The 14,640-nt window shown below is 37.7% G+C and overlaps 1 long non-coding RNA gene across 1 annotated transcript in view; it reads left to right on the forward strand.

The window, feature by feature from the left end:
* The first annotated feature begins 260 nt into the window (after positions 1–260).
* The window catches only part of LOC105377845 (uncharacterized), a 45,225-nt gene continuing 30,845 nt past the window's right edge, over positions 261–14,640 (forward strand). The window contains exon 1 of the long non-coding RNA XR_942662.1: positions 261–1,168. This is a non-coding gene — a long non-coding RNA (uncharacterized LOC105377845). The remainder of the gene's footprint in view (positions 1,169–14,640) is intronic.

A 14,640-nucleotide genomic window follows, 5' to 3' on the forward strand; every position in this document is an offset into this window, starting at 1 on the left:
AATAGTCAGGGAGGCAGAAAATTTAGTTAAAATATCTCCGCATAATAAGGGGACTGGGCAGGTGGGGATAACTAGGAAAGAGTGCAAAAAGGAGTGTTGCCTGATGTGACACTAGAGTTGGGGAATTTTAAGGCGTTTAGAAGCTTGGCTGTCAGTACCCACAACAGTTGTGCGGGCAAGGGAAACAGGCCCTTGAAAAGAAGGTAACGTAGAGTGGGTATTCCCCGTATTGATTAAGAATGGGACGGACTTACCCTCCACCCTAAGAGTTACCCGAAGCTCGGCATCCGCGATTGTCTAAGGGGCCTCCGAGACGTTCGGGCAGCGTCAGTCTTCAGCCGCCAAGCCGAGGAGATCTGGGAAGGAGTCGGTGGGGAGCTTTGGGTTTGAGCTCCAGGAGCTCCGGAAGTGGCGATGAGAGTCGGGCAGTCAGACTTCCAGTGAGGGCCCGCACAGGCGGGGCATGGCTTAGGAGGAATCCCAGGCTGCAGGCATTCCTTGGCCCAGTGGCCAGGTTTTCATCGCTTGAAGCAAAGTCCCAGAGGGGCTGTTGGATGTTGCGTTTAGATGCCTTGAAGTTCTTGCAGGTAGGCAGTGCAGCTGGGGTTTGTCTTATGGCGGAGGCAAGCATCTGTAGTTCTGAAATGCGCTGTCGCCGGGCAGTCTCTTCCCTATTATTGAACACCTTGAAGGCGAGGTTGATTAATTCCTGTTGTGGGATCTGAGAGCCAGACTCTAATTTTTGAAGTTTCTTTCTACTGTCAGAAACTGACTGGGTAATAAAATGCATGTTAAGAATAAGGCGGCCTTCTATCCCTTCAGGGTCTAGTGCTGTATATCGCCTGAGGGTGGCAGGTAGACAGGCCATAAACTGAGCTGGATTTTTATCTTTGTTCTGAGTGGTTTTTTTTGTTTTTGTTTTTGTTTTTTAGTTTGTCATAATTGACGGCTTTATATGCAGCCTTCTGAAGCCCTTTAACTAGGCAAGAGATCATGTAGTCCCGCCTGGCTATGCCTGGGTCCCAGGGCCTGGTAAGTCCATCCGGGGTCTTCACAGGGTACTGCCCTAGCACCTTACTGGAGGCCAGGCTTACGGCACCGGCGGTTATCAGCCTAAGATTGAGCTAGGATCCAAACCCACTCTCACTCCTCAGGAGCGAGGGTAGAGGTAAGGATGACATTTAAGTCATTCCAAGTAAGATTATAGGACTGGGTTAAGTATTGGAATTCTCGTATATATTTGGTGGGGTCAGATGGGAAAGAGCCTAGATGTTCACTAATTTGGGAAAGGTCGAACAGGGAGAAAGGGACCTGAACCCGAACTATTCCTTTGGTTCCTGCCACCTCTCCGAGGGGAAATTGCTAGGCAGGGGCCTGGGGGTTGGTCGCAGGCCCAAACTGTAAGCCATAGAGGATGTGAGGAAGGGTGGTAATGGGAGGGGCATAAGAGGGTGGATTGTGGGTAGAAATAGGTTCTGGGGGAGAATTAGAAGCAGGTTCGGATAGGTGGTGGGGGAGAAAGATCGGAGGGGTCAACAGACAAAGAGGAGTCAGCATCGCCAGTGGAAGAAGGAGGGGTAGACAGAAGGGAAATAAGGAAAATTGGGGATGGATTACATTGGAAGCATAGGCTAGGGAGAGATCGTATGTAAAAAATGCCTGGAAGTAGGGTACCTCAGACCCATTTGCCCATTTTTCCATAGAAGTTGTCTAAGTCCCACAAAATAGAGAAATTGGAAGTGCTGTTTTCTGGCCACTGAGCGCCATTTTCTAATTTATACTGGGGCCAGGACGTGTTACAGAAAAAAATTAGACGTTTAGCCTTTAGATTGGGTGCAAGGTGAAGAGGTTTGAGGTTTCTGAGGACACAAGCCAGACAGAAGAAAGAGGGATGGAAGGCGGGAAATTGCCCATGATAGAACAAGGAAAGACTGGGGGGAAAGAAAGAGACAAGGAAAAGAGCAACCACTAGGATCCTCAGTGGGCGTCCCCATTGGAGGTCCTGGGTTGTGTGGCTGGCAAATGGCCAAGGCGGGCGTCCCGGGCATTGACCGAACACTGAAGGAAGGCTGTCTCCCCAAGAAGAGTCCGTGACCGGTGTTGGATTTCTGAAACACGGATAAGAGGAAGGTTCTTTGTCTCAATTTTGAAAAGAGAAAAAGAGAGGGAGAGATGAGGAGAGACCGAGGCAGCTTACCATATCCATAGACAGAGGCCGGAGTGCTCGCGGAGCTGGTCTGAGGTCCTGAGGGCGAGGGAAGTCTCTTGCATGGGAGAACGTGGGTACCGGGAGGATAGAGGAGAGGTCTGCCGGAGGAGTTCCCCTATCCCGGGCTTTCGGCACCAAATGTTATGCGAGCATCTAATTGAAGAGACAACTTGAACAGGCTAAGTGTGAGCAACAAAGGCTGTTTATTCACCCGGGTGCGAGTGGGCTGAGTGCGAAGGAAGTCAGTGGAGGGTGGTGGGTTGGAGCTAGTTTTATCAGTTAGAGGTAAGCACCGGAAAGTTACAGTTAGGAGCCGTTTATTGCGGGCAGGGGAAGAATGTCATAAGGTACATTATCACAAGGTTACAGAGCACAGTGTCACGAGGTTGATTGATCAGTTAGGGTAAGCCTGTTACAATGACAGAATGTTGCAAGGTTGGCTAATCAGCTAAGACAGGAACTAGCCGTTTTTCTTCTTTTGTGGTTTTCCTGTTGTCCTAGACTTTCTGGCTCCAGGAGACCTTCTGTGGGTCACAGGGGTCACGATGGCTTGACCATGGTGCAGCCTGCTCAGAGGACCTTAGAATGTCTTTCGTTTATAGTGCCCTCAGCCACAAAACTACCCATGGGTGAAGAAACTATACCACTTCATTTCTTCCACAATTGGAAGTTTTCCCTCATCTGTTGTCTGATATTATTTTCTAAAAGCTCAGTTTATAGATCTCTGTATTTCATTTACTTTTCATCCCACACATTGGCAGAATAATATTCAATCCAAGATTCCAAGAAAAGTGCATAAAAATTTCTGAAGTTTTTTCAAAACCTCCTTCTATTCCAGTTCTAGACTACATCTGTTCCCAATGTTTCTATCTCCCTGAAATCTGATCTCTGTCTCCTTGACTCCACGAAACTGTCGTCTTCTGCTTGGGCATCCTCTTTTTGCACTTTAGTCTGGAAACTGACTATATAGAAGACTAGAAGACTATGGCCTTCAGTTAATATATTTCCTATCTCTCAGGAATCAACATTCACTACTGTCTGTTTTCCAACTAGTAAAAAACATTGTTTCTTCTTTCGCCCAATTTTCTAATTTTGTAGGAATAATATATATATTTACATTTTCTATATTTGGATCTTAGTCAAAATAATCCCCCACCACACACAGCCACACACACATATGCTGTTCATTTAGTTTCTCTGGAGAAACTTGACTAATACAGCTGGAGATTCCTTTCTTTCTTTGATCTTCTTTGGAAATGGAAGTGTCTGTAATTCTTACGCTATGCCAGACCCACTATATTACATGTTGGGGACAGATAACTTGATTTTTAGTTTAATTATCTCATAGATAGAGAGGAATTTGTCCAGGGATGGGTCATATTAATTACTTTATTTTTAATTTTGCCTTTATCTTTTTTAGGGTATTTACCACTAGCATATGCAGTATAATGCTGTGTTTTAAAGTAATTTTTACAAATTATTTTCTTTATGATTATAAATCAAGCATAATGTATGTACAAACACAACACACATACACACATATACATACACACAAACACATATACATACACACACATGTGCTTGTAATTAAACTCAATGAAGGGTGAACCACAGAAACATGAAACAACAAAATTTTTCATCAAACTTAGGAAGAAAGGAAAAAGGCTGGCTAGGGCAAAAGTGAAAAAACACCTCCAAATAGATCTTGTTTTGCAGATGTAACTTTAAACCTGCATAAATAATTTACATAATTTTAAACCTGAAGAAACTTTTTGAAAATTACTGTATTTCAGAGAAAAAATGAAACTGGAAGCTAACTGTTTATTTTTATGTTTTACTCCTCTTTTCTTGAATAAATGGAAACCTAATTTGAACACTTTTCTACCTAATTTCCCTGAATATAATCTGAAATTGTTCCACAGAACTATTTAAAGATATTCCTCCTTCTTTTCTTGAGCTGCATAATATGACATTGTATAGATGTTCTGTGGTATATTTAATTAATTCCCTATTTGTGTTTACTTTCTATTTATTTGCACTTATAAATTATACATTTGTCTTTTGGGATTGTTTTTAGTATATCTTTGGAATAGATTCTTAGCAGTGTGATTGCCGAATTAAAAAAAAAACATGTATATGTAGTTTTACTAGGTATTGTCAAACTTTCCCCCTGATTAAACTATTTTACACTCCAGCAATTTGTAAAACAACTTGTTTTCTCACAGTCTCAATAGGTAAATATGGAGTCAAACTTTTGGATTTGCCTATCTGTAAAATGGAAAATGCTTCCCTCAGTATAGGTTTAATTTGCATTACTGTAAGTGAAGCTGAATTTCCTTTTTTATGGTAAAGAAAATTTGCATTTTTTCCCCTATAGACCCTCTTCACATTATCTACCTGTTTTCCTATCATGTTTTAGGCTTTTCATTTTCCATTTTTAGAAGTTCTTTATATATTAACAACATTTACAGTTAATCTTCACTGAGAATTGGAAATAAAATTTGCTTACGGTGTCCTCAGATCTCCATAAGTTTTTTAGGTTAAAGTCAAATTTATCCATCTTTCTGTTGTTGAGTCTAGATTTTAAATTATTAGAAAAAATTTACCTCATTCCCAAGTTTTAATTTTATCCGTGTTTTATTTCTTGAATATTTTAGATTTTTAGATGTAAATCTTTGATCAATTTGAATAATTTTTGTGTAGATTCTGAGAAAAGGGTCCAATTACATATTTTTTCTGTTAAAATTACTTGTATTGAATTTTCTTTAATAAGAAATTTAGTAAGTTAATTTATCCTACAAATTAAAGAGGCTAATTACATTGCATATTATATTTCCACATATGACTTGGTTTGTATGTTATTTTATTTGTACTGTTGGTCCTGTTGTTTATTTATGCAGCAATATCACATTTACTTTAATTATTGAGGTTTTATAATTTGTTTGAATATCTGATAACAATTGCCCCATTCATTGCTGTTCCATTTTATGCCTTTTGTGGTCATTCTGGCTTGCTTAATCTTCAAACTGATTGTTATAATGAACTTGTCTGACTCAGGCAAAACAATCAGACAAATAAATAAAAGCAAAAACTTAATGGTATTGTCATTTTTGCATTAAATTAACTTGGGAAGGAATGACATCATTATGGTATTGAATTTTCTTATTCAAAGATGATATATGCATTCTCATTTGTTTAAGCTACTTTTGTGTCTTTTGGAAGTCTTTTATTATTATTATTATTATTATTATTATTATACTTTAAGTTTTAGAGTACATGTGCACAATGTGCAGGTTAGTTACATATGTATACATGTGCCATGCTGGTGTGCTGCACCCATTAACTCGTCATTTAGCATTAGGTATATCTCCTAATGCTATCCCTCCCCCCTTCCCCCACCCCGCAACAGTCCCCAGAGTGTGATGTTCCCCTTCCTGTGTCCATGTGTTCTCATTGTTCAATTCCCGCCTATGAGTGAGAATATGCGATGTTTGGTTTTTTGTTCTTGCAATAGTTTACTGAGAATGATGATTTCCAATTTCATCCATGTCCCTACAAAGGACATGAACTCATCATTTTTGATGGCTGCATAGTATTCCATGGTGTATATGTGCCATATTTTCTTAATCCAGTCTATCATTGTTGGACATTTGGGTTGGTTCCAAGTCTTTGCTATTGTGAACAGTGCCGCAATAAACATACGTGTGCATGTGTCTTTATAGCAGCATGATTTATAGTCCTTTGGGTATATACCCAGTAATGGGATGTCTGGGTCAAATGGTATTTCTAGTTCTAGATCCCTGAGGAATCGCCACACTGACTTCCACAATGGTTGAACTAGTTTACAGTCCCACCAACAGTGTAAAAGTGTTCCTATTTCTCCACATCCTCTCCAGCACCTATTGTTTCCTAACTTTTTAATGATTGCCGTTCTAACTGGTGTGAGATGGTATCTCATTGTGGTTTTGATTTGCATTTCTCTGATGGCCAGTGATGATGAGCATTTTTTCATGTGTTTTTTGGCTGCATAAATGTCTTCTTTTGAGAAGTGTCTGTTCATTCTCATACCAAAGCCGGGCAGAGACACAACCAAAAAAGAGAATTTTAGACCAATATCCTTGATGAACATTGATGCAAAAATCCTCAATAAAATGCTGGCAAACCGAATCCAGCAGCACATCAAAAAGCTTATCCACCATGATCAAGTGGGCTTCATCCCTGGGATGCAAGGCTGGTTCAATATACGCAAATCAATAAATGTAATCCAGCATATAAACAGAACCAAAGACAAAAAACACATGATTATCTCAATAGATGCAGAAAAGGCCTTTGACAAAATTCAACAACGCTTCATGCTAAAAACTCTCAATAAATTAGGTATTGATGGGAAGTATCTCAAAATAATAAGAGCTATCTATGACAAACCCACAGCCAATATCATACTGAATGGGCAAAAACTGGAAGCATTCCCTTTGAAAACTGGCACAAGACAGGGATGCCCTCTCTCACCACTCCTATTCAACATAGTGTTGGAAGTTCTGGCCAGGGCAAGTAGGCAGGAGAAGGAAATAAAGGGTATTCAATTAGGAAAAGAGGAAGTCAAATTGTACCTGTTTGCAGATGACATGATTGTATATCTAGAAAACCCCATTGTCTCAGCCCAAAATCTCCTTAAGCTGATAAGCAACTTCAGCAAAGTCTCAGGTTGCAAAATCAATGTACAAAAATCACAAGCATTCTTATACACCAATAACAGACGGAGAGTCAAATCATGAGTGAACTCCCATTCACAATTGCTTCAAAGAGAATAAAATACCTAGGAATCTAACTTACAAGGGACGTGAAGGACCTCTTCAAGGAGAACTACAAACCACTGCTCAATGAAATAAAAGAGGATACAAAGAAATGGAAGAACATTCCATGCTCATGGGTAGGAAGAATCAATATTGTGAAAATGGCCATACTGCCCAAGGTAATTTATAGATTCAATGCCATCCCCATCAAGCTACCAATGACTTTCTTCACAGAATTGGAAAAAACTACTTTAAAGTTCATATGGAACCAAAAAAGAGCCTGCATCACCAAGTCAATCCTAAGCCAAAAGAACAAAGCTAGAGACATCACGCTACCTGATGTCTATACTATACTACAAGGCTATAGTAACCAAACTATACTACAAGGCTACAGTAACCAAAACAGCATGATACTGGTACCAAAACAGAGATATAGATCAATGGAACAGAACAGAGCCCTCAGAAATAACGCTGCATATCTACAACTATCTGATCTTTGACAAACCTGAAAAAAACAAGCAATGGGGAAAGGATTCCCTATTTAATAAATGGTGCTGGGAAAACTGGCTAGCCATATGTAGAAAGCTGAAACTGAATCTCTTCCTTACACCTTATACAAAAATTAATTCAAGATGGATTAAAGACTTAAACATTAGACCTAAAACCATAAAAACCCTAGAAGAAAACCTAGGCATTACCATTCAGGACATAGGCATGGGCAAGGACTTCATGTCTAAAACACCAAAAGCAATGGCAACAAAAGCCAAAATTGACAAATGGGATCTAATTAAACTAAAGAGCTTCTGCACAGCAAAAGAAACTACCATCAGAATGAACAGGCAACCTACAAAATGGGAGAAAATTTTCGCAACCTACTCATCTGACAAAGGGAAGTCTTAGTAAGATTTTGGATGTTTTCCATTAAGTTTATGGTTAGGCCATCAAATTTGTTTTACTATACTTTCCAGATATTGTTGCTGTCAGTGATTTGGCCTTACCTGCATGCATTTTGGGACTCGTGGAGTTACTTTGTCAGTTGGTTTTATGGTGTATGTTGGCTGTGATAATTTTTGTTGTTTTGTTCATTTCTTTGCTATATTTCGTGGGATGATTTAGGGATATTAAAAAACTGCTGCCACTGTAACTTTGCCTGGCATGCTCAAAAATTTTTGAGTCTACATATTTTCTAATATAAAATTTCTGTTACCAAATATGCAAAATATATTTCAAAGATTAGGTGATAATTATCCCAAAGACACACATTCAATCACAGAAACAGTATAATGTATAAAATCCTGCTATTTAGTGCTTACTAATGAAGATAGACAAAGCAAATGGAATCTGCAAGAACCAGGATAACTGATTTGGAACCAAACATTTCAGTTTGCTTTGTACAGCTGTCCCTCTCAATACGTGATCTTTGGCCTTATTTTTATTCTCTACCCCAAAGAAAGCAGATATTTTAGTTCACAGCAAAAATTTCCATTTAATTCATAATTGTCATATGCAGAAGAGATTTTGTGAATTATTTTACAACATTGACCTCAATGAAATTTAATCACGTTATGTAAATTCAACTGGGGCAAGGAATTATTGAACAAACATACAGATTGTTAACATACAACTATCTACAAGGAGACGGTAGGGAAAATTACTGGTGGAGCAGGACGTGTGGAGGCCATTCATCTACTTAACAACATGATCTTTCTAGTTATGGTGGCTCTGAACAATTCTCTGGAAAAAAATCTAATGCTAATTGGAAATTGGAAATGCTACAATTTCCATAGAGTGGATATAAGAAGAATAACTTCCCACTCACAGAGTCTGGAGTTGTCTCATGCAGTAATGAAATCCTTTTGCTCGTAAGATGGTCATTAAAACAGTGGCTTACACAGGTTATTATACTTTCTCTCTCATAAAGAAATCCAGAGGAAGTCAATCCATGGTGGTTCTTTTCTACTCAGCCATTCTTAGTATATGATTTTCCTATCTGAGGTCACGTCACTGTCACAGGACGCTTATGGAGGAACCAAACATTATTTCTGGTGCCAAGGAAGTGGGAATAAGACAAATATTCAGGGAAATAAGCAACTTTCTAGCTAAATTAGGGCCCTTTTAAAAAATTGTTCTCTGAAGTATTACTTTCCATTTACATTTCATTCACTCCTAGTGGCAAGGAAAGCTGCAAAAGTTTGTTGTTGTTGTTTTTCCATCCTGAAATAAAGTTGTTATGCTGTTACTAAGGAAGATAAACAGAATGGATATTGAGTATGCAGCCATTCTTCTCTGCCACAGGATTAGACTACATTTACCATCTGTCTGGTTGCCTCCTTTTTAGTCTGAATAAGAAAAAAACAATTGTAATACTTGGAAGTTAAATTTTGAAGATAGCATTTTAGTAGCTTTTTTTTGCACTTTTCTCCCCTAACTACAGGTATTATTATTTAGCTGTCTTTAAAAATCCAGACAAAACAAACATAACAGAAGCTTTTGTTGCTTGAATGATTGGGCACTCATCCTGAAAAACAACAACAAAAAATAACTATGCCATTCAATCCTTATGTATATAAATCCTTTGTTTGTGTTCCAACATGTTTAAGCATTCTACTGCTTTTTGTTTAAAAAAATCAGTACAGCAACCATGAAAAGTTTAACACCCAGGCAGATCAAGATGAATGCGGCCATTCTTGTTAAGTAGGACATTGTTTGCTCTTTAGAAAGAAGATGTATTACCAGGAAAAAATGATATATATATATATTTCTGCAACATCTTGTAACCACACTCCATTAGAAATGATTACCACCACAATGCTGTATGGGCTGAACAGGTTCATATTTCTCTAAGATACAAGGGCAAGAAAAAGACCAGCTGCCAGGACAGTATGACCCAGTCTACTGCTCTGCCTGACCTGTGTCAGGAGTAATCTCAGTCAAAGCTGTAACCATCACCATGTATAGCCAGGGCACTTCTAACACTGGCGACTTGTTGTTGCAACACTGGGTCTAAAAATAACAACAATCCATCAGTGTCAGTGCATGAAAAACTGAATTTCATCATAATTTAAGAGAATTGTGGACTACAGTAATACATAAAGTCAGTTTTGTTATTGTAGTTTGTTCTTTCTATTGCAGCAAGTTGGCTGCCTTCTGACTAACATTTTACTCATTTCTCTAATCAGCGGGAAAAAAATAAAATAATATTTTTCAAAAATTTACAAATGTCTGAATATACATGAGAGTATTTTAATAATCTGTCATTTTGAAATAATTTACCACTGACAATTGCTCTCTTGGTATTTTGAATTCAACTAATAATGAGTGTATTCATAAATATATGTTATTATCTTATATTATTATTATTATTATATATTATTCTTCCATACAAGAAGAGGTTCAATAAATACCTAATTCTAATGTTAGCCTAAAACCATATTGAAGCCACTGAATTATTTAGGGATGAATATTATGTGCTAATGAACCTCATTTTTTAAAACTTTTATTTTAGGTTCAAGGGTACACGTGCATGTTTGTTATATAGGTAAATTGTGTGTTATGGGGGTTTGGTTTACAGATGATTTTGCCACCCAGGTAATAAGCATCATACCTGGTAGGTAGTTTTTGAACCCAATTTTAATCTTATAATAGCATAGAAGATTTCACAAATGAATCCTCAGCATGATCCAGCTAACAGCTGGATTCATAACAGTTATGGGGGAAAATTTGGAATTTCAAAGGTGGACATAGAAATTGATTTAGAGTAACTCATGAATTCACTAAACTGAGTTTTTATTAACAGGCTATTTAGCGTAAATCTTTACTAACAATCAGGAACGAATCATCCTTAATAGTAGAGATAACTGATCCGAATTATTGAGACACAATTATTTTTAAGTAATTTTAAAATATTAAGTGATTTTTTTCAACTTACATTGTTGTTTTGTTTTTTTTTCAACTACTTTGTTTGTTTATAGAATTGTGAGTTAGAAGATTTCATTCTGGCTTTCCATATTAGGAACAGTTGAATTTAACCATCTGGAGCTAATTAAAACATCCCCTAATATTACAAATTTCTCGTCTAAAATCTGATGAAATTTGTACAATTATTCTGCCTCCCTCAGAGATTAGTTGCATCGAACACATATTAGTGAACTATTTAGACATATGGGGGACAATAAATTCAGTATTGTGTATGGTTAGAAATCAGAGAAATCCAGGATCAAATGTAAGCTCTGAGACTTGATAACTGAGCTCAGTGAACTTTTTATTCATTCAACAAATATTCATTAAGCAATAACAGAATTTCAGGCACTAGTCTAAGAGCTGAGAGTGCTGCCATAAATACAACACATTAAGTTCTTTATTCTCAACGACATGATAGAGAAGTGAGAATCTAAAAGTAAACACAAATATGCATTTCAGATGGTAATACTATTATTAAGAAGAATAAGCAGATTGAGAGGATTAGATAGCCAGTGTAGGTTGTAGAGACATTTTAGTAGCCGCAGAAAGGAAGTGACAGAGAACAGAAGGGAAGTATAGCAAGGAAGCATGTGAGGTTATGCAACAAGCAAGGGAGACAGCAGGTGAAGTTGTGGAGGAAACCAAGAATCAGATCATTTGGGCCTTTAGACCATAATAAGCACTTTAGATTTTCGATTTAACTGCAACTTTTTAATCTGACCGACAGTGTTTTTTGTTTTGTTTTGTTTTGTTTTGTTTTGGTTTTGTTGTTGTTGTTGTTTTGAAAGGGAGTCTCGCTCTGTCACCCAGGCTGGACTGCAATGGCATGGTCTCAGCTCACTGCAATCTCTGCCTCCTGATTCAAGTGATTCTCCTGCCTCAGCCTCCCTGAGTAGCTGGGACTACAGGCGCGTGCAACCACATCCAGCTAATTTCTGTATTTTTAGTAGAGACATGTTTTCAGTATGTTGGCCAGGGTGGTCTCAAACTCCTGACCTTGTGATCTGCCCTCCTTGGCCTCCCAAAGTGCTGGGATTACAGGTGTGAACCACTGTGCCCGGCCCTGACTGACAGTTTTTAAAAGATCACACTGGCTACTTATCTAGGTCAGTCGATATTATAATTTTGACCTGGGTGGCTTTAAGAACAAACATTTATTTTTTAGACTTTGGTGGCTGGAATTCTGAGATCCTGGAACCAGCATGGTTATTTTGTTACAGAGGGCCCTCTTCTTGGTTTACAAACAGCACCTTTTCACTGTGTCCTCACATGGTGGACAGAGAACTAGCTCACCTCTCTTACTCTTTTTAAAAGGGCATTAATTCGATCAGGAGAACCTCACCCTCCTGACTTAATCTAAAGCTTATTACCTCCTAAAGGCCTTATCTCCAAGTACCATAGCACTGGGGATTAGGGTTTCAACATAAGTTTTGGAGGGACATAAACATTCAGTCCATGGCACTATCATAAAAAGAATAGACTATGTGAGCACAGGAGAAAGAGGCAAGGTCTTATGGCAAGGAAACTGATTAGCAACTATTATAATAGTCTAAACTCTAGTCAGTAATGACTTAATGGTTATGGTAATGGTTAAATCATAGTATAGTATAGTATAGCCTAAAGGTAATGGTTAAATCATAGTATAGTGGTTGAAGTAGTAAAAAGTGGCCAATTTTTAGACAACCTGGCAGTCTTTGCTAATGTATGTGGATTGTGAGAAAAACTTGACATAAAGAACAACTTGATTAGCTTCTTTAAACTTTCATCTCCTCAAATACACAATAGAGAACTTATTTACTATAATATGGAGTTGGGAAAACTAAATTTCAATGTAGGAAAGCATTTACAGTTATTGTATGTTATAAAATCAACATATGTAATATAAAATAATTATTATATTATTGTATAATATATAATAAGTAGCAATGTTAATTTGAGACCAAGGACAAAAATTGTTTTAAAATCCTCCAGTAATAGGCGAACTAAAGTTGCAGAACTTGGCTTTTCTACATCCATATAGGGACTTTCTATCCCAGACACCTTTGTTCATGAGTCTGTACAGTTAATACTTTCATATCTGTCTTTTTAATCAGGTAGAAGCAATTTTAATTCATGCTAAGTTATATTACTTTAGAAGTCATCTATCTTCTGTTTCCTTTACAGTCAGTCAACTGACCCTAAAACCGGAAGACAGCACTGCTTCTCATCCTTATTCAGTGGTGGCATACTCAGTAAATGATAGAGCTGTGTGGCACTTTGTGATGCATTGCATTTGTATAATTATTATAAGAAAATTTTAAAAAGCAAATAGTAGAGACAGTGTAAAATTGAATTTGTATTAATATTTAAATAAAATATTTTCAATTTTCTAGAGAGATAGTTGACCTTCCTTCCATTCATATCTGTCATCTATCTATCTCTCTATCATCTATCTTTATGTAAGTATAATTTTTAATACTGTTTTATACTTGAAATATCTACATTCAATTCCTAATCATGTTATATTTTTCCAGGGGGAGATTATTTGTTCTTGAGGAAAACCATCGATGAGAACATTTTGAAAACAAGAACATAGTCTCTTTTGTCTGGAAATAGTCTAACTATTAATAATTTGTAGCCTCTTGTAGATAAGACTGCTCATCAAAATTATATATATGATTTTATGTGAATATGTGGACCTACATTTTTAGAAGAGAATTTAATATTCTTTTAAAACATGAGAAAAATAAATAAAAATAATGGGTTTTATGTATGTAATTTCCATCTCTCAGAAATGGGCAATAGTTTCAAATGATTTTTATTTATTTATTTATTTTAAATTTATTCATTTTTCTGAACAACTGTGATCTTAAAACTATCTTTAGGTAATCAGTTTCTTCCTGGCTTAATCTTGTGAGGGTGTATTAGGATTTATCCATCTCTTCTAGGTTTTCTAGTTTGTGTGTGTAGAAGTGTTTATTGTAGTTTCTTTTTTTCTTTTTTTTTTATTTTTCTTTCTTTCTTTCTTTTTTTTTTTTTTTTTTTTTTTTTTGAGACAGAGTCTTGCTCTGTCACCCAGGCTGGAGTACAATGGCCCAATCTCAGCTCACTGCAACCTCCGCCTCCTGGGCTCAAGCGATTCTCCTTCCTCAGCATAGCGAGTAGCTGGGATTACAGGTGCGTGGCACCATGCCCGGCTAACTTTTTCTATTTTTAGTAGAGACGGGGTTTCACCATGTAAGCCAGGATGGTCTTGATCTCCTTAACTCGTGATCCACCTGCCTCAGCCTCCCAAAGAGCTGGGATTACAGGCGTCGGCCACAGAGCTCTGCTTTTTATAGTAGTGTTGGGAACAGGCCCCCAAATCTGGCCATAAACAGGCCCCAAAACTGGCCATAAATGAAATCTCTGCAGCACTGTGACATGCTTATGATGGCTATGATGCCCACGCTGAAGGTTGTTGGTTTACCGGAATGAGGGCAAGGAACACCTGGCCCACTCAGGGTAGAAAACCGCTTAAGGCGTTCTGACCAGAAACAATAGCATGAGCAATCTGTGCCTTAAGGACATGTTCGTGCTGCAGATAACTAGCCAGAGCCCATCCCTTTGTTTCCCGTTTTATTTAATCTATAATCTGCAGAAACAATGCTTATCACTGACTTGCTGTCAATAAATATGTGGGTAAAACTTGGTTCATGG

Source organism: Homo sapiens, chromosome 6 (assembly GCF_000001405.40).
Source record: "Homo sapiens chromosome 6, GRCh38.p14 Primary Assembly".
Taxonomy (NCBI): Eukaryota; Metazoa; Chordata; class Mammalia; order Primates; family Hominidae; genus Homo; species Homo sapiens.